The 27,062-nt window shown below is 49.9% G+C and overlaps 2 protein-coding genes and 1 long non-coding RNA gene across 16 annotated transcripts in view, besides 5 other annotated features; 2 read left to right on the forward strand and 1 right to left on the reverse strand.

The window, feature by feature from the left end:
- CLUAP1 (clusterin associated protein 1) overlaps positions 1–5,857 on the forward strand; it is a 43,622-nt gene extending 37,765 nt beyond the window's left edge. For all 7 annotated transcript variants that reach the window (XM_047433797.1, XM_047433798.1, XM_047433799.1 and 4 more), the window contains one exon: positions 2,931–5,857. In XM_047433797.1, the coding sequence (XP_047289753.1) occupies positions 2,931–3,080 (150 nt within the window). In that variant the 3' untranslated portion in view covers positions 3,081–5,857. The remainder of the gene's footprint in view (positions 1–2,930) is intronic.
- The window catches only part of NLRC3 (NLR family CARD domain containing 3), a 38,371-nt gene continuing 17,150 nt past the window's right edge, over positions 5,842–27,062 (reverse strand). For 2 of the 5 annotated variants that reach the window (NM_178844.4, XM_047433769.1), the window contains 14 exons: positions 24,402–24,485; positions 23,720–23,803; positions 21,051–21,134; positions 19,005–19,088; positions 17,223–17,306; positions 16,506–16,589; positions 15,951–16,034; positions 15,479–15,562; positions 14,944–15,027; positions 11,055–11,138; positions 10,234–10,317; positions 9,501–9,584; positions 9,000–9,083; positions 5,842–8,724 (listed from right to left, as the gene is read on the reverse strand). In NM_178844.4, coding sequence (NP_849172.2) covers positions 8,634–8,724; positions 9,000–9,083; positions 9,501–9,584; positions 10,234–10,317; positions 11,055–11,138; positions 14,944–15,027; positions 15,479–15,562; positions 15,951–16,034; positions 16,506–16,589; positions 17,223–17,306; positions 19,005–19,088; positions 21,051–21,134; positions 23,720–23,803; positions 24,402–24,485 — 1,183 coding nt within the window. In that variant the 3' untranslated portion in view covers positions 5,842–8,633. The other 3 variants (NR_075083.3, XM_047433770.1, XM_047433771.1) reach the window with 3 other exon arrangements.
- On the forward strand, positions 8,718–26,398 carry LOC101929732 (uncharacterized). Of its 4 annotated transcripts, none has more exons than XR_007064951.1 (4): positions 8,718–9,478; positions 12,693–12,807; positions 24,208–24,298; positions 25,954–26,398. It is a non-coding gene; the product is annotated as an uncharacterized LOC101929732 (long non-coding RNA). The 4 variants fall into 4 exon arrangements; XR_007064952.1 differs by having other exon boundaries at positions 8,718–9,304; positions 9,395–12,807; XR_007064953.1 differs by having other exon boundaries at positions 8,718–9,111; positions 9,197–12,807.
- Positions 11,232–11,732: an enhancer, noted in NCBI's record as "H3K4me1 hESC enhancer chr16:3594423-3594923 (GRCh37/hg19 assembly coordinates)". NCBI's record gives its function as "activates a minimal SCP1, AML or CMV promoter by ChIP-STARR-seq in naive H9 embryonic stem cells {active_cell/tissue: H9 hESC(naive)}" and the evidence as "EXISTENCE:reporter gene assay evidence [ECO:0000049][PMID:30033119]".
- Positions 15,142–15,451: an enhancer, noted in NCBI's record as "active region_10326". NCBI's record gives its function as "activates an Ori minimal core promoter by ATAC-STARR-seq in GM12878 lymphoblastoid cells {active_cell/tissue: GM12878}" and the evidence as "EXISTENCE:reporter gene assay evidence [ECO:0000049][PMID:35858748]".
- Positions 19,637–20,356: an enhancer, noted in NCBI's record as "OCT4-NANOG-H3K27ac-H3K4me1 hESC enhancer chr16:3602829-3603548 (GRCh37/hg19 assembly coordinates)". NCBI's record gives its function as "activates a minimal SCP1, AML or CMV promoter by ChIP-STARR-seq in naive H9 embryonic stem cells {active_cell/tissue: H9 hESC(naive)}" and the evidence as "EXISTENCE:reporter gene assay evidence [ECO:0000049][PMID:30033119]".
- Positions 20,357–21,077: an enhancer, noted in NCBI's record as "OCT4-NANOG-H3K27ac-H3K4me1 hESC enhancer chr16:3603549-3604269 (GRCh37/hg19 assembly coordinates)". NCBI's record gives its function as "activates a minimal SCP1, AML or CMV promoter by ChIP-STARR-seq in naive H9 embryonic stem cells {active_cell/tissue: H9 hESC(naive)}" and the evidence as "EXISTENCE:reporter gene assay evidence [ECO:0000049][PMID:30033119]".
- Positions 21,078–21,797: an enhancer, noted in NCBI's record as "OCT4-NANOG-H3K27ac-H3K4me1 hESC enhancer chr16:3604270-3604989 (GRCh37/hg19 assembly coordinates)". NCBI's record gives its function as "activates a minimal SCP1, AML or CMV promoter by ChIP-STARR-seq in naive H9 embryonic stem cells {active_cell/tissue: H9 hESC(naive)}" and the evidence as "EXISTENCE:reporter gene assay evidence [ECO:0000049][PMID:30033119]".

The following is a 27,062-nucleotide window of genomic DNA, read 5'->3' on the forward strand; positions in this document are numbered from 1 at the left end:
TCTGTCAGCCCTCCCGGGGCCAGCCAGGGGCCTCTCCCTAGGAGTGATGCTTCCTCTCTCCTGGGCAAAAAGGCCACTCAAAAGAGATCCTGTGGTGACAGCGGGATCACTGAAGGCCCCTGTGCTAAAGTGGAGGCGCAGGCACGGAGCCTGGAGGCGGGGAAAGCTCAGGCCGGGCCATCCTCAGGCCCTGGGCCGCCACCTAGAAATGAAGGAGGACGCCGAGGGCCGGGCTCAGGACCAACCCCCCTCCCTGTTCTGTGCTGGGGACGGAATGGTGAAGCAGCACTGTCCCCAGACCAGGCCCTCGAGGTGCCAGGCATGAGGCTGAGACATAAGCTGCCTTGAGCTTTACTGAGTGGATAACTCCCTGGAGCACTTAAGCAAAAGGGGATTCTAGGGGTCCTCAGTGAGGTCCAGTCATCAGGGCTCTGCCGCCCATTGCTCAAGCCTACGTTCTTTGTTGCGTCCCTGGCAGTGCTGCTCGGCCCACACAGCAAAGGGCGACTCAACAGAGACTGACCCCAGGCTGCCTCCATGTGCCCTGAATTTACAGGGCACAGTCTGTAGAGAAGCAGAGAGAGCAACTGGAAAATAATTTTCCTAACAAGCTCGGGTGTGGATGGTATACAGCGTCTCTCCGTCTTGCCCACCCAAGACAGAAGCAGAGGGAGTGTGGCGTGGGTGCTGGCAATGCTGAGGCAGCACCGCCTGCCTCTTCTCCAGGGTTTGCCTTCTCTCTCCTCAGAGCGAATGCATTAGTCGCAGCTGAGCTTTATGCCTGGTGGTCACTTGTTTATTTCAAGGAGGCTGTGTCCATGCCGCCCTCCAGGCACAGGGTTCCATGCTTTACGTGTTCAGGCATCCAACACGTGTCTGTTGAGTGCCTGCCACATGCCAGTGCTGTCGTGGATTATGGGGAACGCAGCAGGGGCAGAGGCAAGCCCCTGCTTCATGGCTCACACCCCAGCAATAATGATGGATTGTCGGATCAGGGCTCATGGTGTTAACAGGAGGAATAACAGCTTCAGGGGACAGGGAGTGACAGGGAACAAGGAGGGGGTGGCGTCTTCTGCGAGGTCAGTGAAGGCCCCTGACGTGGTGGTGTTTGAGCAGGGCCTGAGTGGAGGGAGCGAGCGCATGGGTTGGCGGCACCTGGGCATGTGGAATGCACTCCTCGCATCGAGGAGCAGAGGCAGCTGGTGTGATTGTGGGTGAGTGCGAGAGGCAGCAGGGGCCATGCAGAGCTTTGCAGGGTGAGATGAAGACTCTGTTTTCTCTGAGTGTGAGGGGAAGGCCCTGAAGAATCATGAGCCCAGAAGGGTCAAGAGCTGATGATCCCTGTTTGAGAGAAGCCAGTTAGGAGGCGCCTGCACCCGTGGAGGTCAGAGGTGACGGTGCTTGGCCGAAGGTGTGGCAGCAGAGGTGTTGAGAAATGGTCAGGTCCTGGGTCTCTCTAAGAACCATCAGGTTTTGTGAATTGATTGGACATAGGCTGTTAGAGAAAGAGAAAAATGAGGGTGCCTGGGCTTGGTCTAATCAGCAGAAAGCAGAGTTTCATTTTCTGAGATGGGGCCGACTTGACAAAGGGGCTTGGAAGGCAGATCGAAAGTTTGATTTTGGACATTCTGAATGTGACAGCCACATGCTAGGGTTGAGTAGCCAGGTGGAATTTAAGTCTGGAGTTCAAGGGCCACGTCTGGGCTAGAGATTGAATTTTGGGAGCCACCCTTATTTGGTTGGTATCTAAGCCACAAGGATAGATGTGACTGCCTAGGGAGAGCAAGTAGAATGAGAAGAGAGGCGACCCAAGGTCCTGAGCTGCATCTGCCCTGCAGAGGTCCGGGAGGAAGGGGCAGGCAGAGGAGGCTGAGGGGCGTCAGCAGTGAGGAAGGGGGACCTGGACTAGAGAAGGGGCCCTGGGGGATGGAGAAGATGGGTTTTAAGGATGAAGGGGTGATTCCACAGCTCAAGCAGGATGAGGCCTGAGAATCGATCCCAGTCCGTTGAATGTTTCCTTCTTGACAGGAGCAGTGCTGGGGTCAGTAGGTGAGAGCCCGGGGGAACTGAAGCAGTCGTGAGGGGCACAGGTGTGGACAGTGAGTTCAACGACTCGCTCAGGAGCTTTGTGTGAGGGGAGAGAGACAGGGCAGAGCAGCTGGAGAGGAAGGTGGGATTACCTTTGGGGTTTTTTTTCAAGAAGGAAATTACAGCATGAGTGTGCACCGACAGGAATGATCTAGATAGAACGACCAGCCATCCTGGTTTACATGGGACGCAGGAACTGCCGTTTTAAAGCTGGGCTGAGTTGGTCACCCTGGAGCCCTGGATCCGATGAGGAGAGAGAGGGTGTGTCTTTCACTTTGCTCCCTTTTTTTCTTTTTTTTCTTTTTTTTTTGAGATGGAGTCTTGCTTTGGAGTGCAGTGGTGCAATCTCGGCTCACTGCACCTCTGCCTCCCAGGTTCAAGCGATTCTTCTGCCTCAGTCTCCGGAGTAGCTGGGATTCACTTTGCTCCTTATACCAATGTCTATGTTGCTTTCCATCCACAATCTACAAAAAGCCAAAACAGGCCTCCCTTCCCTCTCTCCAAGCCCCTGTCCTTCTTGCCATCTGTAGGGGGAGTCTCTAGGTCCAGTGGCCCTCAGCGCAGATGCAGAGTGCTTCTTAGACGCTGCGGGAAAGCCAGCCCCTGCAGCACCACACCCAGATGCACCTGCAGTTTGGAGGATTCTGGTTGGATGATAAATTCCAGCTGGCAGTACATAGCCTCAGTCCCATCTGTATGCCCTCCCACAGCCTGCTTGCCACTCTGCCAGCCTCTTCCTTCACACAGGGATGCTGCTATAGAAAGGGAGGCAGAGAGTCTTAGGACAAGATGTCAGGAATGAGGCAGGATCCCCCGTTGCATCTGCCATTTTTTTCCTATAGGAGGACTCGGAGGAGAGTGAAATTGACATGGAAGATGATGATGACGAGGATGACGATTTGGAAGACGAGAGCATTTCTCTCTCACCAACCAAGCCCAATCGAAGGGTCCGGAAATCTGAACCCCTGGATGAGAGTGACAATGACTTCTGACCCTTTTGCCAAGGGACCCTGGCAGATTAAAACCCTCAGACTTGTAGGTAAATGGGAACTTAGAAGGTTAGGAAGGTAACCCCTGTTTTGTTTACTAAGCTGGCTGGACTCATGATCACTGAAGCAATACTTATTTCTGCTTTAGCCTCCTATGTTTGCATTCCATGAAGCTTAAATAAGAATTGAAGCAAATCCCTAAGATTTATTTTTTTCCACCTTATTTATCTTCTAAAACTTGAGGAATGCATGTGTTCTTAGTGATTCACATCCACGGGACAAAAACTCAAGAAGAAATAAGAGCTGACGCCACACAAGTCTTGGCTGCTTTTGTTACTATACATTTTCTCTGAGACTCCAGCAGAGTTGGGGCTGGAACTTGGCACTGGGGACTCATGTTTGGAATCGTAGGGGAACATCTGGCTGTTAATCACTTGCACAGTTGAGAACATTTCCTATACATCGGCTTTTAATTCTAGCTCTTATTTCATTTTGTAATCTTATTTTCTTTCGTCTGCATGTTCACAATACCAAGCATTAAATGTATTTTAATAACTAAACTTTTCTGAAAGAAGGTTAGCTAAAGTTAAATGAAAACTTGGTTTCTTTGAAAATCAGGCAATAGAGACAGGCTCCAGATGAGGAATCCTCCATTTTCTGTCCGAAGCTGACATTCCTCTGGCAGTCCAGTTCACCTTGGATTACAGCCACCTTCATGTTTCCACGGTTGGTACTAAATCTGGAAACTCTGGTGACCTGGGCTGCCCTCTCAGAAACTCCAGACTCCCATGGCAATGACAGCCGGGACACTTTTCTTCCCTCCAGCCAGGGTTTCTCTAAAGGAGCTTTGTTTTGTCTAAAGTGTGGCAAGACATAGTGCACAACACAGGGACAAAGGCAGGTTTCCTGCAGCTCGCTACCTAAGTGTTTCTGTAGGGGAAGGAGCCAATTAAGAAAAAGTGTTGGTACAGATTCATGTTTCTGATTTAAAAAAACAACAACACAGGATTGAATTAAGTAGAGTAATAGCACTAGAAGAATTTTTCTGTTGTGAAATTAGAAGTGGAGTTGGTTTTTTTCTTTTTTCTTCTTCTTTTTTTTTAATATGAAAAGTACTTAGCTGGGAGTGGTGGCAAGCGCCCTTGGGTCCAGCTACTCAGGAGGCCAAGGTGGGAGGATCACTTGAGCCCAGGAGTTTTAGACTAGCCTGGACAACTAAGTGAGACTCCATCTCTACAAAAAATTAAAAAATTAGCCAGGTGTGGAGGGGCATGCCTGTGGTCTCAGCTATTCAGGAGGCTGAGGCAGGAGAATCACTTGAGACCAGGAAGTTGAGGCTGCAATGAGCCGTGATCATGCCACTGCACTCCAGCCTGGGTGACAGAGTGAGACCCTGTCTTTAAAAAAAAGAAAAAGAAAAGCACGCTGCTTGTAAAAAGCGTACAGTAGGTCAGGCGTGGTGGCTCATGCCTGTAATCCTAGCACTTTGAGAGGCTGAGGTGGGTAGATCACCTGAGGTCAGGGGTTTGAGACCAGCCTGGCCAACATGGCGAAACCCCACCTCTACTAAAAATACAAAAATTAGCCGGGCGTGGTAGCGCATGCCTGTAACCCCAGCTACTGGGGAGGCTGAGGCAGGAGAATCGCTTGAACCTAGGAGGCGGAGGTTGCAGTGAGCCGAGATGGCGCCACTGCACTCCAGCCTGGGCAGCAGAGTGAGACTCCATCTCAAAAAAAAAAAAAAAAAAAAAAGCATACAGTAAATAAAAAAGCACAAAACAGTTTTCACTTATTTTACAATTAAAAAGTCAGAAGACTTCTGAAGTTACTTATCTTTTAATACATGTATTTAACACCATACTTCATATTATTAAATAGGTTTTACTTAAAAATATAATTATTGTATTTGTACCTGTCAGATATAAATACTTATTCAGGAGTTCACAGGTACGAAAAGATACACATAAATTTTAGGAACTTTTGAGTTATTTCTGTCATTTTTGCTTTTTTCTCTTTCTTTTCCTAAATTTTATGTATAAGATTACCCCTAAAAAAAAAAAAACAGCCAGTATTCAGTGAATTCACCAGTAATTTGAAATGCACCATATTGTAAATGATCCACTGACAGGGAAGCCAGCGTGTTGGAGCCATGCCAGCCACCTCAGACACCGTGGCTCTAAGATGCGGAAGAGTCACTGCATCTTCTTGAATGTTACAGATTTGGTTTGCCTGAATGTGACTTGACTTCTGTTTTGAAAAAACATACGAATAGAGTTCTATTTTCCTTATGTGATGCTTTCTTCTAACACACTTTAACACAGAAGCCTAACCTAGCTACAAAGAGCCTATCCACAGACATAGGCAACAGCTCCAAAGGGTATTTCATTGTGTCACCTGCTTCTAGATCATCTGTTAGTTAACTGACTTTGTGCAAGGTCTCACCATGTATAGCACTGCCTTGCTTGAGCACGGAAGTTTCTGTCAACAGCAAGCTTTATGTGCTCTATCATTTTTATTAAAGTATTTCAGTCAATAGTGACCCATTGTAGAATGGATGCAGGATTCACATGTGCAAGTGCTTTGTGACCTGGCACCATTTGGTTTTGGCCAAGCAGCAGAGCAGACCTCAGGACCTAACGAGGATGGTTGTGATTAGGTCAAATAGAAAACTAGCAGGCCATTGCTGACAATTTTTACTATATAATTAGAGGACTTCCTAAAATGCTTTAAAAAAAAATGTGTATGGATGGAAAATACAAAGGAATTTTTCAAATACTCAATTTTTATTGGTAGTAGTTATCAAGAACAAAGTCCTCGGACTTCTGATGGGAAATCTGAACTGCTGTTTCTCTTTTAGCGTACAAGAAGAAATAGATCCCTCTCATTAGCACTTTAATATCAGTGTCACGTGTCTGGAAGGAAATTGTATTCATTTAGGTAAGCAACACACTACATAAATATCATAGCTGTTAGACCCAGGGGACTCTCAGGTGCCAGAATTGGGGACTCCTTTAATTGGAAGGGAGCTAAAGGGTCTACCTCCTACCTAGAAGTCCTTTCTATGTGGATATGAATTAAATTCTCTTGTCTGTTTTGCTCTGATGGGGTCTGTGTGGGCTAGCTGGCTCTGGTGTGTGCCTGACGACAGACTGAACTCCTTAACCATTTCAGACAGCTTGAAGATGTATGATCATTATTTGAAAAGGGAGAGAGGGAGGACTCTTTGTTTTCTCCACCAGTTTGGCTCCTGAGGTTTCTTCAGCGTTAGGTTTCTGTAGGGCCCAGCTTTCTCCAGTGTTTGGCTACTGCAACTCTGTGTTCTGCCAGTCTCTTAACTCAGACAGAAACAATGCAAACCAGCAGACAGAGCATCACCTTGAAAGTACTAAAACAGCTGTCAATCTAGAAATCTCTGCCCCGCAAAAACTGTCATAAATACTGCAAGACCCATGTTCAGATTTCCCCCCTTTTACAAATAATGTTTTGTTTTATTTCCCAGCTACTACAAGTGATCCAAATGTTCTTTATAGCAGACTTTTTCCTGCAGTCTAGGATCCAGTCAGAGATCTTGCATTAAATTATATCTCTGTAATCTTTAATTTCACGCTATCTGCAATGTTTTGTGTTTTTCATGACATTGATGTTTTTGATGAGGTCAGGCCATTTATTCTGCAGAATATCTGTCAATTTGGATTTTTTCTAATTGTTCTTTCATGATTAGAATCAGGCAAACATTTTTTGACAAGAATACATCAGAGACGACTCCGTGGTGCATCAGACTGGGGGCATGTGATGTCTGTGTGTCCCATTATTGGCGATGTTCAATTCTGTCACTTCTGTTGAGGCTGCATTTGCCAGATTTCAGATTAAGGTACCTTTTTCCCTTTGTAAATTAGGATATCACCTTTGTGGGGTGCCGTTTTGAGACTGCAAGGATATCATCTTCCCGAGTAGGCCTTCATCCATGGCCTCAGCATCCATGATGGTTCCTGTCCGGATGCTCACTTTTGAAGAAACATTTCAAATAATAGTGATTCCTTTCCAATTCAAAAGTAATCATTGCTTTATAGTCTTCATAAATATTTTCTGTGGTTATTTAGTTGATGAAAGCTGTTGATGTCCATTTGGATTTTTTTCCCTCCAACACAAACAGCTGCAGGAATTGGTGCCACATAGAGGCTCAGCTTGCCTGTCTCCATGGAAGCTGTGGCCACAGCAGTGGCTTTGGAAGCCTAGTAAGGAATGACATCACTGCCAGGTGCAGTGGCTCACACCTGTAATCCCAGCACTTTGGGAGGCTGAGGTGGGTGGATCACTTGAGGTCAGGAGTTAAAGACCAGCCTGATCAACATGGTGAAACCCCATCTCTACTAAAAATACAAAAATTAGCTGGGTGTGGTGGTGCGTGCCTGTAGACCCAACTACTTGGGAGGCCGAGGCAGGAGAATCACTGGAACCCATGAGGTAGAGCCTACAGTGAGCTGAGATCATGCCACTGCACTCCAGCCTGGGTGACAGATTCTGTCTCAAAAATAAATAAAGAATGACATCACTGAATACACTGAATGTGCTATTGATAACCAGTGTGCCAGACTCCAGACAACATGTGCCAGGCATCACCCATGTCTTTGATTTTGTAATAAATAAAAAATGGGGCCAGGTGTGGTGGCTCATGCCTGTAATCCCAGTACTTTGGGAGGCCCAGGCTGATGGATCACCTGAGGTCAGGAGTTCGAGACCAGCCTGGCCAACATGATGAAACCCCGTCTCTACTAAAACTACAAAAATTAGCCGGGCATGGTGGCGGGTGCCTGTATTCCCAGCTACTGGGGAGGCTGAGGCAGGAGAATCACATGAACCCGGGAGGCGGAGGTTGCAGGGAGCTGAGATCGTGCCACTGCACTCCAGCCTGGGCGACAAGAGCGAGACTCCATCTCAAAAACAAACAAAAAAGGCAAAATCCTTGGAGAACTCTTACTGTCTCTGTTTCCAGAATCCTAGAATTAAAACTTTCATTTATCTTCACAATTTTCCCATAGCTTTTTCATGTCTGTAAGGATGATACCCTGAAATCTTCTTCTTGAGAAGATAAAGAAGGGTCCCCTCTGTTACCCCTACCAAACGGATGCTCCTCACGGGCTTGAGGTGGCAGCTCATCTCAGAGCATGGGATGATTTTTAACCAGGTGAGTGGAAAGGGGCAGTAATAAACATTTTTAAAGGTTGGGGACACATGAAGTCCTCAGGGTGTAAAGCTGGAACCAGCCTCCTGTACTGCTCAGCTTTCAGGCCTTTGGCCCCTAGTCCCTTGGGGGTGGCCCCTCCCTTCTCTGTGCCATAACAGAGTACCCGTCACCCCCTGCCTGGACCACTCCTGCAGCAGAAGAGGAGCTCACGACCTCCTCCGGCAGCACCTCTCCTTCCTCCCTGCAGAGCCCGGCTCTCGTGCTGAGCAAGCAGCGTTCCCAGCTCCCAGACAGGCCCCCCAGAAGTCGGCCTTTCTGTTCAAAAGCTTCCAGCTGAGCATCTGCCCATTCTCCTGATCCGTCCACCAGGATCACATTTCAACAGTGCACGTGGGAGCATTTGTCTTGATGGCCTCTGAGATCATCCTGGCCCCGGAGTCCCCAATGTGGTTTCCCTGGAGACTAGAAGAGTAGGGTTAAGGCAGGGCTCAAAGCCTGCAGGTTCTCTTTAGTAGAGCAGGCCATACAATAGAAAATGCAGGACCCCATGCAAAGCCTTTGTGCTTCTAGGATCCCCTCGCTACATGGACAAGGCTCAGGGTACCTCCCCTTAGACCAGGTTTCCCTATAGGCCTGCTGAAGCGTCTGGGGGTCAGCTGGCTCTCAGAACTGGGCAAAAGGCAGTGCGCCACCTGGAAGCAGTTCTAAGGGTGAGCAGGAAGGGCAGGTGCACTCACTTGATATGCTGGAGCCTGTGGTTTCCAGACAGTGCTGTGGCAATGCATATCGCCCCGTCCATCCCCAGAGAATTCTCTTGAAGACTAAGTGGAAAAGAGATGGAGACACACGGTGAGCCATCAGGGCAGAAGGAAAACACCCGGGGAAGCAACAGTGCATTGTCTGGGGGCAGTAACCCAGGCAGATGTGTCCACAGGTGCCATGGCAACTCCAGGTGGGAGTTGACCCTGGAGACAGGTGTCTACGAGTGGCCAGATTGTCCCACGCAAGTGCGCTGGAGGATGTAAGGCCATAAATGCAAGATGTGAGTGACTTCTGACTGAAGCTAAGCACACTCAACAAACCCAGCTGCAGTGGAATGTGGACTATAATAAGTCTGATTGTTTATATTCAGAAGGAAATAGCTACAGAAGAAATCAGGAGCATTTTATTCCATCAGGGAGGACCCAGCAGAGAACTCTGCTGCTCCAGGATGCAGGTAGGTCCCTCCAGCCACTTACTTGAGTCTCCGGAGACTTGAGTTTACCTTCAGAGCATTTGCCAGGGCTTTGGCTCCAGCCACCCCAATGGCATTTCCTCTTAAGCTGTTGGGAAAGACAGGAAGCCTAAGGCATGGGTACAGGCTGAGAGGTGATACTGACCCCTCTGCGGGTGGGCTTGGGGCTGCTTGGTAGAGGAAACAAGGACTTCAGCAGTCACAGGAGGCCAGGGCTGTGCCTTCCTCACTCCAGGGCAACAGGGCAGAGCTGGCTCTGGGAAGCAGGGCACACAGGGGCATGGCTGGCCTAGCCAGGAGGGTTGTTGGAGCCTTCCTCCTCTTCCATTTCAAACAGAAAAGCGGGGCTGAGACAGGAGAGGCAGCCCTCCATCTGGGCAGGTCCCCAGTGCTCCCAGCAAGGGCAGGAATTCTGAGGACATGCCTGAGCCTCAGAGCTGTAACCTCACCCCAGGACTTTGGATCTGCCCAGAGAACAAGATCAGCCCCCCTGGGACCCATAAACCAGGCCTCTAGACGTGTTCAGCCTGGCAAGGCCAACCCGGAGAGGAGGGCAAATGATAGCGACTCCCAGGGAAAGGCATGAAGTGGGGCTGGGAAACTGGTATACTTGCACTGAAATGAAGATCACCAGGATGATTTGTGAGTTGTCTGTAAACTTTGTCCCCATATCTATTCATTGAGAATTCATTGATTTCTTTGGGCTAAAGACCATAGATGGAGACTGGAATACTTACTCGAGAATCTCCAAGGTTCTGTTCACAGCCAAGGCTTCCCCTAGCACCTGGGCGCCTGAAGCACCAATTGAGGCCACCTGGAGACTGGGGCGGAGAGGGTGCCGTCAGTGTGAGCCGGCTGGGCCCACCTCCCTCCGCATACTCCGTTCCCTTTCACCACCCCTTGACTCAGGATGGAAAGTGGAGAAACAGCACTGAGAATGGTTGGCCAGCGCTGTGTCTAGGCACTCCATCTCCTACCTACACTGTCTGTTGCCTAAGACAGAGATCTGGATGCTAAGGAGATGAGAAATAGAGGCTGTCCCTGGAAGGGCTCGGGGAGAATGCTCCCTGTACCTCCTCATTACTACTCTCTAGGTGTTTGAGCCCCCAACTGCTAATATCATATTTCCTATATTAGGAAAATCAAACACACCTTCCTTGACTTGTAAACAAAAATAACGTCCAGGCCAGGTGTGGTGGCTCACACCTGTAATCCCAGCACTTTGGGAGGCTGAGGTGGGCAGATCACCTGAAGTCAGGAGTTTGAGACCAGCCTGGCCAATATGGTGAAACCCCGTCTCTACTAAAAATACAAAAATTAGGCTGGGTGTGGTGGTGCACGCCTGTTATCCCAACTACTGTATGGGAGGCTGAGGCTTGAGAATCACTTGAACCCAGGAGGTGGAGGTTACAGTTAGCTGAGATTATGTCACTGCACTCCAGCCTGGGTGGCAGAGCAAGACTCTTGTCTCGAGGAAAAAAAAAAAAAAAAAGACCTCTAACGTGAAAGGATGGCGAAGGGACCGGTTTCCTGACTGCTGCGCACATCTAGGACTTACTAGAGAGCAGTGAGGGCTGTGTTGACCTTCAGTGCACGGGCCACCGCACACGCTCCGTCATCCCCGATGGCGTTCTCCTGTAAACTAGACACAGAGTATGACCCCTTTGGGTGCACGGGGCACAGGGAGCATTCTAGCAAGGCCCTGCCGCACTTGGACCTGCCAGGTTTAACCGACTACACACACCATAGACACTCCCAGGGTTTCCTGGGGATAACTGCCCTTCCTCCACAGGCCCTGCAGCCCGCCGCCTCATACTAAGCACACAGAGGCGTCTGGGGCCTGCATGAGTCTGAACCGCCAGAGGCAAGCAGGAAATGGGACATATAGAGTGACTGTCAGCAGGGGCTTGGGACCCAAAAGGGGATGCTTTTCACAGCCAACCAGAAAATGAACTTAAAGCCCTCAATCCCTGAGCCATTCTTGTTTGTCTTGTTTTCTCTTGAGACAGGGTCTCACTCTGCCACCCAGGCTGGAATGCAGTGGTGAGATCACGGCTCACTGCAGCCTCAACCTCCCAGGCTCAAGCGATCCTCCCACCTCAGCCTCCCGAGGAGACTAAAGTACTTAACTAGAGACGGGGACTACAGGCACATGCCCCCATGCCCGGCTAATGTTTTTATTCTTTTATAGAGATGGGGTCTCACTATGTTGCTCAGGCTGGTCCTGAACTCCTGGGCTCAAGCAGTCCTCCCACCTTGGCATCCCAAATTGCTGGCATTACAGGCAGGAGCCACCACGCCCAACCTCCTTGGCCATTCTTGCTAATTAGGGCTTTGTGTCATTTTTTCCCCTTCTAAGTTGGAGGGAACTAGCAGGCCCTGGTGCAGTGAGTGACTGAGTTTAGCTCAAGCGCACACTGGTATGTTCAAGGCCAAGAGCTGTTTGCATTCATTATTTTAACAGACATTTGAGTGTGGCCGGGCGCAGTGGCTCACACCTTTAATCCCAGCACTTTGGGAGGCTGAGGTGGGTGGATCACTTGAGGTCAGGAGTTCGAGACCAGCCTGGCCAACATGGTGAAACCCCGTCTCCACTAAAAATACGAAAATTAGGCTGGGTGGGTGTATTTTTAGTAGAGACAGGGTTCTCTGTCTCTACTAAATTAGCTGGGAGTGGTGGAGGGCACCTGTAGTCCCAGCTACTGGGGAGGCTGATGCAGGAGAATCACTTGAACCCAGGAGGTGGAGGTTGCAGTAAGCCGAGATCCCGCCACTGCACTCCAGCCTGGGCGACAGAGTTAGACTCCGTCTCAAAAAATTAAAATGAAAAAAAAAATAAGAAAGACAACATTTGAGTGTGTCTCATGTGCTAGGTGTTGTATAAGGCAGCAGGCCTGAGTCCCCCTCTCGAAGCTCAGGTGGGAAGACATGATTAAATGAGCAGGTACAACAGGCCAAGTGCAGGCTGCAGGGAAAAGCAAGCAGCATCTCCCACCCCAGGGTGTCAACAGAAGGCTCCCAGAAGAAATAGGTCAAAACCCGAACCCAAAGTGGGGAGTGTGCCTGGCTCAGCTAAGGAACCCAAACGAATTGAATTCCTGGGGAAGTGAGAAATGAGTCCAGGGAGGGACAAAGGAAGCAGATTTTAGGGGTCCCAGAAGCCACCCTGAGGGGCTGTGTGTACTTTACTCTGCAGGCCCTGGGCAACCATTCAAGGATGGCACCCAAGATGGGACAGAGCTGCTCTGGAAAGGTCTCTGGCCAGCAGTGTGAGAGGATGGACTGAGGTGGAGGCTACCACAGGGATGGAGGTGAGTGGTGCCGATGGCCTGGGCAGGGGCAGTGGACGCAGAGGGAATCGAGTGGATGGCAGGGACACAGAGGGGACCGACCCAACAGGACTTGACAATGAATAGGAAGCAGGAGGTGGGTAGGCACAGTGCCTCACACCTGTAATCCTAGGACTTTGGGAGGCCAAGGTGGGAGGATCGCTTGAGCCCAGGAGTTCAAGACTAGCCTGGGCAACATGGTGAGGCCCCATCTCTTTAAAAAAAATTGTAAATATTACTTTAAAAAATAAGTTATATGCTGGATGTGGTGGTTTGCACCTGTAATCCCAGCACTTTGGGAGGCCAAGGTGGAAGGATCACTTAAAGGTCAGGAGTTCGAGACCAGCCTGACCAACATAGTGAAACCCCGTCTCTATTAAAAAAAAAAAAAAAAGCTGGGCGTGGTGTTGGGCACCTGTAATCCCAGCTACTCGGGAGGCTAAGGCAGGAGAATCGCTTGGACCTGGGAGGCAGAGGTTGCAGTGAGCCGAGATCACGCCTCTGCACTCCAGCCTGGGCAACAGAGCGAGACTCCATCTCAAAAATAAAATAAAAGTTATAGAAAAGGAAGTGGGAGGTGAGAGTGAAGGTCTTGTTTCTAGCTTGCACAGTTGGTTCCATTCACAAGATGGGGAGCCAAGAAGCAGGTTTTCAGGAGAGAGAATGCAGGGACCCTGCACCCGAGCAAGATCCCGAAGGGAGGTACAGAGGGGGTGTGGACGCGCAGGTCTAGGGTTGAGGAGAGAGGGCTGGGACACGGACGTGGGAGTCGTTGGGACTTTGAAGATCACTGGAGCCCAGGGAAAGGAAAAGAGCTCCAGGAAAAGAGACGCCAGGCAAGCGAAGATGACATAGGACGATCCCTGAGGAGCCCTGCGCAGAAGAGCCAAACAGAAGAAAAGAGGACGAGGCCCAGACAGAGGGGACATCCTGGAAGCTGAAGGAGAAGAAATGGTCAGGGAGAAAGGCCGATGAGGCTCCAAGGGTTAAACCTAGAGTTCCCTCACGCCCCAGCGACTCCACTCCCAGGTATATCCAGCCAGGAGAAGGAAAGCTCACGTCCACACAGAAACTGGTGCACAAAGGTCCACAGCAGCACCGTTCCTAACAGCCAAGTAGGAACAACCCAACGTCCGTCAGCTGATGAATGGAGAAATGAAACCTGTGTACCCATACAATGGATATCATTCAGCCTTACAAAGGAACTAAGTATTGAGACAGGCTACAATGTGGATGAACCTTGAAAATCTGACACCAAATGAAAGACACCAGCCACAAAAGGCCACGTGTCGTATGATTCTATTTTTGGCCACGTATCGCACAATTCCATTTATATGCGGTGTCCAGGGTAGGAAGATCATGGAGATGGTAGATTAGTGGTTGCCAGGGTTGGGGGAAAGGGAGAATGGGTAGTGAGTGCTAACGGGGTGATGGAAATGTTGTAAAATTGATTGTGATGATTGCATCACCGAATACACTAGAAACCAGTGAATTGTATACTAAGTGGGTGGATCTTCTGGCGTGAAGATTATATCTCAATCAAGCTGTCATATATCTATGTATATATGTGTATGTACATATATGTATGTGTATATATGTATATGTGTATATATGTGTGTGTATATGTGTGTGTGTGTATGTATATATATGTGTGTATATATATATATTTTTTAACAGGGTCTCACTCTGTCGCCCAGGCTGGAGTGCAGTGACGCGATCTCTGCTCACTGCAACCTGTGCCTCCTGAGTTTAAGCGATTCTCCTGCCTCAGCCTCCCGAGTAGCTGGGATTACAGGCATGTGCCACCATGCCCGGCTAATTTTTGTATTTATAGTAGAGATGGGATTTCGCCATGTTGGCCAGGCTCATCTTGAACTCCTGACACCTCAGATGATCCACATGCCTCAGCCTCCCAAAGTGCTGGGATTACAGGCGTGAGCCAACGCACCCGGCCAATATATTTAAAAGGCAGACAAGGACTGAAACATGCCAGCTGGCCTTAGGGAAGAGGAGTGCCAGGGGTCACTGGATTGAGCCTCTGCCTGATGGGTACCAGGTTTTCAGATTCCCCTGTCCTCAACAGCCCCCGCCCTGCAGCCCCTGGGCAGGCCAACTTACTCTAAGCTGGTGAGGCTCCTGTTGAGCTGTAGTGCTTGTCCCAGGGCCTGGGCAGCGCCGGCCTGGATGAAGTTCCACTGCAGGCTGGGCAGACACAGACACATGTGACTATGTGACTATGTGACTATGTGGCCCTGGGGCAGAGCCAAGGAGGCTCTGATGGCAGGAGGTGGAATCCCTGCAGGATGTGGCAGGAGAATTCCTGCAACCCCTGCCCAGACTTAGTTCTCAGAGGGTCACATGTACTCCCTGGTTAGCCGTGGCCAGAGGGCCGGGGAATAAGCCAGAAAAGACACCTCCAAATGGCCTCTGCCTGGAGGCCCAGCTGTGACCACCTCTTAACACATGTCTGTCTGTGGGTCAGGAGAGCACAGGATGGGGCACAGTCTGCTGGCAGCAGGCTAGCCCGGGCAGCCCCTGAGACCTTTGCAGGGGGTGTCCCCAAACCAGGTGTGGCCTGTGCATCGTTGGTTTGGGTGGAGCCCGGCAGCTCTGCAGAAGGGGAACAGAGCAGGGTGGAGAGCTGCAGACTCACTGAAGGGAGGTGAGGGTGCGGTTTTCTCTCACTGCCACTGCGATGGCCCGGGCACCCTGGTCGTGGAGGAGGTTGGCTGTCAGGCTAGGAGGAAGGGAACAGGAGCAAGTGAGCCGGGGGCCGGCTGTGAAGCCTCCGGTCCTTGGTCACCAGGGATTCCAGGGCTTGATACCAGATCACCCAGCCAGCACGAGGGGGTGCTTCCTGGGGATACGTTGCCCAATGGCATGGTAACATCCTCATCCATCCCCACCAGGTGAAGCAGACGGCGTCACACTAGCCTCACCCTCGTGCAGTTTACACTATGAGAGTGGGGGACTTGCCACCCGATGTCAGGTCTCCTGGCTGCACCCTCCCCAGCCAGCTCCTTCTCCAACCCTGTGACGTGGCGAGGGTGCCCGTCAGCCCAGGCTCGGTGTGGGTGTGGTCATGGCATGAACAGCCTGTGGAGTCACAGGCCCCCACCACGTACTCCAGGTTCTTCAGGGTGCTGTTGGCGCAGAGGGCATGAGCGATGGCCTGGGCTCCCTCGGGACTGATGGAGTTTTCTCGAAGGCTGAAAAAAAAGGAAAGACCTGAGCTTCTGACCGGGCAGATGAGGTGTCTGGCAAAGCCAAGCCCAGGTGTTTAGGCTTCTTGAAGCCCAAGAAACTGCAGGCGGGGGACCTAGAGTTCTGCATAGTCTGGGCTGAGGTGTGAAGGAGCCAGTGCTAGTGAGCCAGTGCTGGGCCAGCCAGGTGCCCCCACTTTAGGACCATCCGCAGTACAGGGAGAGGACAGGATGACAGGGCCCCAGAGGTGCGAGGGGACAGGTGGCTCAGCGTGCATCTGGGAAGGGAGCGGCAGAATGGGCCACTGCGGGCAGCAGCTATCCCCTGCACCCCAAGAGAGCAGGAAAAGGGCCAGGCTGCCAGGAAGGCTTCCCCAGCCATAGATTTCCCTGAGACAGGCTTCCCAGTGCCAAGTCCCTGCAGACAGGTGCCTCGTCAAAGAAACGCCCTGTTTGGAGAGGGTGGCCAGGACTTACCTGAGGCTGAGGAGGGTCTGGTTGGTGCAGAGGGCCCCCATCAGTGCTGCCACTCCTGCGTCACTGATGGAATTGCTCTGCAGGCTGCGGAAAGAGGAGGCGCCCTGGGTGTGGCTGTCCCAGGACCCAGAGGGAGCTGCCCTGTCCCAGTCTGGGACAGCAGGCACTGGGCTCAACAGGGAGTTGGGGGCTCCAGGGACAGTGGTGGCCACACTGCTTCTCTTCTCATCTCTCTTTCCTCTCCCAGCCCCCCACCTTCTAGCCTCTGCCAGGTCAGGGCAGGTGGGTTCAGCACAACAAACCCCCAAATGTAGACCCTGCCTTGATGTGGGTGGCCCCAGACAGCCTCAGAGCAGGGTGTGTTGGGTCTGCAGCCCCCAGAGGGAGTGGCGCAGCAGGCTCCCCAAGTGTGGGTGTAGCGCTGAGCTCTCCTTTCCCCTACCAAAGCTGCTGCAGCTGACTCCCTCTCCAGCCACCCATGCTGGCTTCTCAAGGACACTTGGAGCTCATCATTCCAAACACTCCAGACCCTACCCCAGCCCCCACTGTCTAGGGAAATGGAGCTGGTGGGGCAGGGGCTACTGAGGACAGTGTGTGCCCAGGGTTAGTGTTGGCAGGGAAATGGCCCTGGGGGACAGCCATTTTTCAGGACTGCCGGCCCACTATCTACTGGAAAGAGAACCCAGGGGGAATCGTCACCCTGGCAGGTGGACTCACTCCAGGCTCTCCAGGCCCTGGTTCACCTTCAGGGCCTCAGCCAGGGCCTTGGCACCTCCATCACCAATACTATTACTGGAGAACCTGCAAGAGAAGGGATATGGATGAGCCAGCCTCTGGGAGCTGCCAGGCAGGGCTGGGCAGAGGGATCAGAGTCAGGGAAGCCCTCCTGGGAGGGCTGGCTCTGTTGTCTCAAGGGTGGCCAGTGCACAGTTTGTTCTGCCTGAGGCCTGTTGGCTGTAGTCTCTGCAAGTGACCACCTGTTGTCTGTAAGAAATCAGGATAGCAAAGTCCCTCTTGACTCCCTGGCAAGAAGGGTCAACCCTTCAGTGATAAGTATTTTGGGGGGTTTTTGTGAAGATGGTCAGGAAATGTTTTCTTCTGCCAGCTGGGAAGACAGTAAATGTGAGCCCGAGAAGGTTGGGGTTCACCCAGTCCTGGGAATCTGAGTCTCCATTCTCCTCGGTTAGTGCTTTTGGAGTCCAAAGTCAGCTAACCAGCACTCACACTTCCATCCATCTATCCATCCACTCACTTATTGATTTATCTACTTACCCACCCACTCATTCATAAATCCATCCATTCGTCCATCCATCCACCTACTCACCTACCCACTTACCCATTCATCCATCCACTCATCCATCCACCTACCCATCAGTCCACTTAGCTATCATTTCGTCTGTCCATCCACTCATCCACCCATCCATCCATTTGTCCATCCATCCATCCACTCACCTATTCTCCACTAATTCATTCAGCCATGCCTCCATCCACTCATCTACCCACCCATCCATTCATCTATCCATTCATCCATCCATCCACCCACCCACCCACTCACTCATTCATTCACTCATTCATTCTACCATCCATCTATCCACTCACCCATCCATCCATCCATCCACTCATCCATTTATCCATCCACTCATCCATTCAACCATCCATCCATTCACGTACCCATCCACCTATCCACCCATCCCTCTCTACCCACCCATCCACCCATCTATTCACCCATTCAACCATCCATTTATCTACTCTACTCATTCATTCATTCATCCACATACCCACCCATCCATCCATCCCTCCATCTACCCACTCACCCATTCATCCACTCATTTATTCAACCATCCATCCATCCATCCACCCATCCACCAATCCACCCATCAATGCATCCATTCATCCACTCATCCACCCATCCATCCATCCATCCATCCATCCATTCATTCAACCATCCATCCATCCATTCAACCGTCCATCTATCCATCCATCCTTCCATTCACTCATTCATCCACTCAGTCATTCATCTACTCGTTCATTCAACCATCCATCCATCCATCCATTCACCAGTCCTCTCACCCATCCATCCATCCATCCATCCACTCATTCATTTATCCATTCATTCACCCATCCATCCATCCATCCATCCACCTGCCTACCCATCCACCACTACCCACCCAACCATCCATCCACCCACCCATATACTCATTTAACCATCCATCCATCTATCCACTCATTCATCCATCAGTCCACTCATCCATCCATCCGTCCACTCATCAGTGTATCCCTTCATTCATCCATCCATCCATCCATCCATCCATCCATCCATCCATCCATTTACCTAGCCACCCATCCACCTAGTCACCCATCCATCCATCCACCCACCCATCCATCCATTCACCTATCCATCAATCCATCCATCCATCCTCAGGCTCACAAATATTTGTGCTGGGTTGGGCATTGTGCTGGGCACTGAGGATACTAGTGTGGGCCTTTCATATGTCTCACATGAGCTCTTTCAGACTCCTGTTCTGCTTCAAGGCATCTGCCATCCGCTGGGCTCCCATGGGCCCGATGCTGTTCTTCTGCAGGCTGTGGGAGAAAAGAGAGGGGTCCTTTAGAAAGGCTGGTCACAGCCATTCCCAGGCCAAGGACGGTTCAGGTTCAAGGTCAGGGACAACTAGTGTGCCCTCTACATTTATTGGAGCAGGTGGGGAGGGCGTTCTCCAGATGGGTCTTTGGATTGTTGCCTAAGTGATAATGGACCAACATTATGATGAGGGATAGTAAGGGGTCAGGGCAGCTGAGCCTCCCTTGCAAGGAGCTAGAAAGCAGAGATCAGTAGGTGCTGATAATGCCCAGCAACCTCCCGAATGGGGACCTCCATGGACAAGTCTCTCTGGTGCCTTACCTGCAGTCTGCCTCCCATCTAGACCAGCAGGCTGCCTCCAACCCTAAGAAACCTCCCTAGGGGCCAGGTACGGTGGCTCATGCCTGTGATCCCAGCACCTTGGGAGGCCAAGGTGGGCGGATCACGATGTTAACAGATCGAGACTATCCTGGCCAACATGGTGAAACTCCGTCTCTACTAAAAATAAAAAAATTAGCGGGGCGTGGTGGCATACACCTGTAATCCCAGCAACTTGGGAGGCTGAGGCAGAAGAATCACTTGAACCAGGGAGGCGGAGGTTGCAGTGAGCCGAGATTACGCCACTGCACTCCAGGCGGGCAATAGAGCGAGACTCCGTCTCAAATAAAAAAGAAAAAAGAAACCTCCCTAGGAAGACCCTGGCTTAGGTTCCTCTTCTGAAAAAGCTGCTTCCTCTTGTCCTAAATCTGGTGGAGGGAGACAGCACGGGAGAAACCCTGTCCTCATCCTACAAGGACAGGCAGGCAGGACGTCTCCTGTGTGAGGCTAAATACAAATCCTAAAAAATGTAATTTTCCCTGGTTCCAAAAAGGAAAGAGACTCCTTACCACCCTCATTTTCTCAGAGCACTTCCTGAGAAAACTTGAGGTTGCAAATGCTGCCTCTGTCCCTTTAAGATGTATGTAAATCTTTTTAAAAGCAAAATCAGCCTCTGGCCACTTTCACAGCCTGGGAATGTCTTTCATAAGGGTTTGGAGCCATCTCTTTGAAATGTAAACATTAAGGAACAAAGAGTCCCTCCTTCCCTGCCTTCGGGAATTAGGCTAGGTATCTGGCTTGAAGCTCTAAAGTACCTGCGTGTCATAGAGATAAAAGCTTTACTTTTCCTTTGGATAAAAGCAATTAGGGACCACAAATGGCCACTCCAATTATCTGCTGTATTTAGGATAAACGGCAAATGGTGCTGCCTGGCCCTCTTGCCTGAGGACGAGGGTCCTGTCTGCTTGGCTCTAGAAAAGTGAGCTTTCTGTCTTTACAGTCTCATTGGTGGGTTGCCCCGATGCACCGTGCAGTCAGTTTAATGTTTATCCAATAATTGTTGTATTCTTTCCTACATCTGTGGGTTGGTAGAAGGTATTTTATTTTATATTTTATTATTTTATTTTATATTTTAATTTTATTTTATATTTTAATTTTATTTTTTTTTGACAGAGTCTCGCTGTCGCCCAGGCTGGAGTGCAATGGCACGATCTCAGCTCACTGCACCCTCCGCCTCCCAGGTTCAAGCGATTCTCTCAACTTAGCCTCCCAAGTAGCTGGGACTACAGGCTTGCACCACCATGCCTGGTTAATTTTTTTTTTTTTTTTTTAGTAGAGACGGTGTTTTACTATTTTGGCCCGGCTGGTCTCAAACTCCTGACTTCAAGTGATCCGCCTGCCTTGGCCTCCCAAAGTGCTGGGATTACAGGCATGAGTCCCTGCGCCCAGCCAGGAGGTTTTATTTTTAATTATTTCCCCAACAGCTGCTCTCTCGAAAAGTAATGGGCATCAGGGGCCATCCAGATGGGTCAGAAGGCCTCAGGTCCTAGCCCCATCCATTCTTCCTAGCAGGTAATAGGCAGAGAGGCCCTTGGAGGAGGAGGGAGAAGGGAGAGAAGGGGGAGAGAGGAGATGTGTTCACTCACTGCAGCATGGAGAGGGTCCGGTTGGAGGCCAAGGCCTCAGCCATGGACCTGGCACCATCATCCCTAACGGTGTTGCCCTGGAGGCTGCAGAGACAAGAAGAGGCTCATCACTGATGGAGCAGAAGCTGGAACCCAGGGGTCTGAACTCTCTCTGCAGTGGGGGCACCTCTGTGGAGCAAGGGGTTCTGACCACTACGTGCCCTCACCGCCCACCATGCAGGGAGAGCAGTGGACCCTTTGCACCACTGCCTGGGGCTTAGGTTTTTCTTTGAGTTGCTAAGCATTTGCCTGCTGGCTGGGAACAAGGTGCTTCTGCTCTCTGAATAACCACAACAAAGTCATCAATTGCCCTCATTACAGCTGAAAGACACAGGATCCAAGTGTTGGTGAGAATACAGAGAAACTGCAACCCTCACGCTGCTGGTGGGAATGCAAAATGGTCCGCTGTCTGTGGAATATGGTCTGGCAGGTCCTTAAAAGGTTAAACATGGGTTGACCATGTGACCCAGCAATTCCATTCCTAGGTATATCCTCAAAAGAATTGAAAACAGGCACTGGAAGTCGTATTCACCAATGTTCACAGCAACGATATTCATATAACCAAAAGGTGGAAACAACCCAAATGGCTGTCATTAGGTGAATGGATCAACATATCATGGTCTGTCCATCCCGTGGAATATGATTCAGCCTTAAAACAGAGGGAAGAGGCTGGGTACAGTGGCTCACACCTGTAATCCCAGCACTTTGGGAGGCCGAGGTGGGTGGATCACTTGAGGTCAGCAATTTGAGACCAGCCTGGCCAACATGGTGAAACCCCATCTCTACTAAAAATACAAAAATTAGCTGGGTGTGGTGGCACATGCCTGTAATCCCAGCTACTCGGGAGGCTGAGACAGGAGAAGTGCTTGAACCTGGAAGGCAGAGGTTGCAGTGAGCTAAGATCACGCCACTGCACTCCAGTCTGGGTGACAGAGTCAGACTCCGTCTCAAAAAAAAAAAAAAAAAAAGTTAAAATAAAATGGAAGGAAGCATTGACACATGGTACCACACGGATGAAGCTTAAAAACATCATGCTCAATGAGGAAAGCCGCACACCAAAGGCGAGCCTATATAAATCTATTTACATGAAATGTCCAGAATAGGTAAATCCTTAGAGATGGGAAGCAGATTGGTGATTGTGAGGGGCTGGGGAAAGGGGAGAATGGGAAGTGACTGTTTATGGGTATGAGGTCTCCTTCAGGGGTGATGAAAATATTCTGGAACTGGACAGATGTGATGGTGGCACAACATTGTGAATTTGCTCAATGCCACTGAACTGTACACTTTAAAACAGTCAGGGTTTTTTTTAGACAGAGTCTCGCTCTGTCGCCCAGGCTGGAGTGCAGTGGCGCGATCTTGGCTCACTGCAACCTCCGCCTCCCGGGCTCAACTCAACCTCAGCCTCCTGAGTAGCTAGGACCACAGGCACCTGTCACCATGCCTGGCTAACTTTTTGTACTTTTCTTTTCTTTTTTTTTTTTAGTAGATATGAGGTTTTACCATGTTGGCCAGGCTGGTCTCGAACTCCCGACCTCAAGTGATCCACCTGCCTTGGCCTCCCAAAGTGCTGGGATTACAGGCATCAGCCTCTGGGACCCGCCTAAAACAGTCAATTTTATGGTACATGAATTTCACCCTAATAAAAATAAATAAATAAATAAATAAATAAATAAATAAATAAATAAATAAATGAAAACAGAACAGAAAAGTGGTACCCACTCAGCTAAGTATAGATATAACCACAGGCTTTTAAAAGAGACATAACTGGCTGGGCTCGGTGACTCACACTTGTAATCCCAGCACTTTGGGAGGCCAAGGCAGGCAGATGGCTTGAGTGCAGGAGCTCGAGACCAGCCTGGTCAAAATGGTGAAAGCTCGTCTCTACTAAAAATACAAAAAAATTAGCCAGGCGTGGTGGCAGGAGCCTGTAATCCCAGCTACTTGGAAGGCTGAGGCAGGAGAATCGCTTAAACCCAGGAGGCAGAGGTTGCAGTGAGACAAGATCTCCAGCCTGGGTGACAAAGAAAGAATCCGTCTCAAAAAAAAAAAAAAAAAAAAAAAAAAAAAAAAAAAAGAGACGTAACAAACCACATCACAACTCTGTCCCCTGCTCAGGCCACACACACAGGCTCAAGTCTAGGGAAGAGCTGGACCCTGGAAACTTGCGTAGGGCATAAGATCCCCAGTACCCAATGGGATGGGAGCCAGTATCCCATGCCTGCCATCTTTGTTTGCTTGCTTGTTGAGAGAGTTTCACTCTGTCACCCAGGCTGGAGTGTAGTGGCGCGATCTCAACTTACTGCAACCTCTGCTTCCCAGACTCAAGCGATTCTCCTACCTTAGCCTCCCGAGTTGCTGGGATTACAGGCACCTGCCACCACGCCAGCTAATTTTTGTTTTTTAGTAGAGATGCCATTTCGCCATGTTGGCCAGGCTGCTCTCGAGCTCCTGACCTCAAGCGATCCACCTGTCTCAGCCTCCCAAAGGGTTGGGATTACAGATGTGAGCCACTGTGCCCGGCCCCATGCCTGCCATTGTGAATCACCTCCCATTCTCATAGGTGGTGCCTGAGGAGAGGGTTTTCTGGGCCCTCTCTTGGGGTCACAACACAGGGAGCAGGTGACACACACCTCAGGGAGGTCAGGGTGCGGTTGATCTTCAAAGCGTCTGCCAGCGCCTTGGCCCCTTGTGGTCCAATGGAGTTACCGCGGAGGCTGAAGGAAGAGAGAAAGAGACACCTCCTTCATCTGTCTCCCAGAGAGGGAAGGGGAAACAGAAACTGCATTGACCTTGAAATTCGTGATCCTCTAAGGGAATGTGTAAGGGCTTAGGATCTCATGTTTGGTGGAACCAGGGCAGAGATCCTTATATAAACAAGGAAGGAGTTTCCCCACGACTGTCTCAGGTGTTGGGGGAAAGAAAGCAGCACCTGATGGACTAGTGGGCTTGGGCCAAATGTGGAGATGAGAATGATGGCCCCAGATGCAGGGCAAACATCTGGTGTGTCCCTGGCTGTAGCCCGGCAACTGAGGAGCCATGGTTCAGCCCGGCTGTCCTTCTGCCCCACCAGGAAGGCATGTGCGCTAAGGTGTGGCCTCCCTGTGTCTTATTCCCACAGGAGTCTTAGAACCTGCTCCAAATGAAGTATGGATATTATGTCCAGATGCTACCCAGGGGCTGAATCATGGGAATCAGGGAAGAACAGACAGGTAAGACCCAAGTCATTTCCTAGGAGGGAGGGGACTTCACAAGATGCCTCACAACTCTTCTGGTTCCAATGGCAAAAGTTCGGCCTTGGTTGTCCTTACTTACTCCAGAGAGGTCAGACTTCTGTTGACCAAGAGGGATCTGGCCAGAGCTTTGGCCCCTTTGTTACTGATCTGGTTCTCCGCCAAGCTGCCCAAGGAAAGGGAGAGGAGTGGTTATTTTAGGCATGCACATCTCATGGCCTCTTCCTCAACGCTGTGCCCGTGATTAATCCTCTAGGCTCCCCCACATCATCAGGGTCTGGACATAGGTGGAGATGAGGTGACCCCTGGAGCAGAATGCCAGGCACAGCAGAGCCCCTGAGCCTGGGCAGCGTAGGGCCAGAGTGGGAGGACAGACCCTCATCATGGCAAAGGGTCTCAGGAAAAAGTTTAACCAGAATCCAGCACAACAGCTTCTACACAAACAGCACAGCAAAGAAAATGGAAATCTCGGAAGCCTAACATGCAGATGGCAGCCAGTGGTGTACTGGTAAACTGGCTCCCAGGAAAAACAAAATTTCAAAAACTGGGCTGTGCGTGGTGGCTCATGCCTATACAATCCCAGCACTTTGGGAGGCCAAGGCGGGAGCATCACTTGAAACCAGGCGTTTGAGACTAGCCTGGGAAACATAGGGAGATCTTGTCTCCACGAAAAACATAAAAATTAGTCAGGTGGCGCACCTGTAGTCCAAGCTACTTGGGAGGCTGAGGAGGGAGGATTTAGCCTAGAAGGTTGAGGCTGCAATGAGCCATGATGACATCACTGCGCTCCAGCCTGAGCGACAGAGTGAGACCATGTCTCAAAACAACAACAAAACAAAAAACAAATGCTAGCAAACTGATTTGTAGTATCTGCCACTTTCCATGGTATAAATACTCCCAGCAACACCAAGTTCAAGCACCTCCACCTTGCAAAATTCCTGAAAATTTAACAATCAGCTTTCGTGAACTGGTACAAACAAATTTAGGCACACTACTGATCCTAGCCTCTTTTCTAGTGCAAAATGGCAAATGGTAGAGTTATTTAAAATTAACTTTAAAATTAAAAAAAAACCACACACACACACACACACACACACATCTTGATTTGCCTCAAAAGCATGGTTCTGGGAATATGGTGGTGGATCAACTCAATGTTACTTCATGTATCCAGCTGCAGAAATAGTAGCTGTCCAGGCTCTTTGCCGTTTGTAGGCATTCAGCCCCATGGGATATAGTAGTTCAATTAGAATCCCCAGGCTGGTGCTCTTCTTTTTCTTTTTTCAGACAGGATCTCATTCTGTCACCCAGGCTGGAGTGCAGTGGCATGATCATGGCTCACTGTAACTCGAACTCTCGAGCTCAAGAATCCTCCCACTTCAGCCTCCCAAGTAACTGGGACCAGAGGTGCACGCCACCACACCTGGCTAGTTTTTTAATTTTTTGCAGAGACAGGGTTTTACTTTGTTGCCGAGGCTGGTCTCAAACTCCTGGGCTCAAACGATCCTCCTGCCTTGGCCTCCCAAAGTGCTGGAATTACAGGCATGAGCCACCGTGCCCAGCCTGGTACTTTTCAAGCTATATTGAAGCAAACTGTTCACTGGAATAAAGTCTCTTTTCTCTAAATTCCTTTTCAGAGAACTTCAATTCACAGCATTCGTCCAGGCCACCTCTGTATAAATGTTCTCAAATTCTAGAGTGCTTCCATCCCTCTGGGACTTTTATGGCATTTTATAAGTTGTATTTAACTTCTAGGTGAAATAGGGATGTGGCACTGAGGATCAACTACAGAGAGAGGTAAAGAAGAGCATGTGGCCAGAGAAGAGATTTTTGGCTTCATTCAGAATAATTTACTTTTATTTTTATTTTTAGTAAAGATGGCATCTTGCCATATGTTTGCCAGGTTGGTCTTGAACTCCTGGCCTTAAAGAATCTCCCCACCTTCCAGATTGCTAGGATTATAGGAAGGAGCCACTGTGCCTGGCCCCCGAATAATTTCTGAGCACTACCTAGTCTGCTTTAAGCAAAACTAAAAGTTGGCTATTTTGTCATGTGCTAAAAATGCAGGAGGCGCTCACAGAGGAAAAAATATTAATAATGAGAATTGTCATTCTTTTACTTTTCTTTTTTTTTTTCTTTTTTTTTTTTTGAGACGGGGTCTTGCTCTGTCACCTCGGCTGGAGTGCAGTGGCGCAATCTTGGCTCACTGCAACTTCTGCCTCCCAGACTCAAGCAGTTCTCCTGCTTCAGCCTCCTGAGTAGCAGGGATTACACACACCCACCACCACCACGACTGGCTAATTTTTGTATTTTTTAGTAGAGACAGGGTTTTGCCAGTTTGACCAGGCTGGTCTCGAACTCCTGACCTCAAGTGATTCACGGGCCTCAGTCTCCCAAAGTGCTGGGATTAAAGGCATGAGCCACCGCCCCTGGCCTAGATATCCTTTTAAGCCCATTTTTACCCTCTTAAGGCACAGAAATGACTTCTTCAAACTCACACAGAGCCTACACCTCTAAACATACTCCCCAGTGCCTTATTTTTGTTACTGAATTAGTGTAAATTGCCATTAACTCAGATAAAGATTACTTCAGAACCCAGAGGCTTGTATGAGAATGAAGAATTACCCCTGGCCACAGTGGCTCACACCTGTAATCCCAGCACTTTGGGAGGCTGAGGCGGATGGATCACCTGAGGTCAGGAGTTTGAGACCAGCCTGGCCAATAAAGTAATATAGTGAAACCCTGT

This window comes from Homo sapiens, chromosome 16, assembly GCF_000001405.40.
Source record: "Homo sapiens chromosome 16, GRCh38.p14 Primary Assembly".
Taxonomy (NCBI): Eukaryota; Metazoa; Chordata; class Mammalia; order Primates; family Hominidae; genus Homo; species Homo sapiens.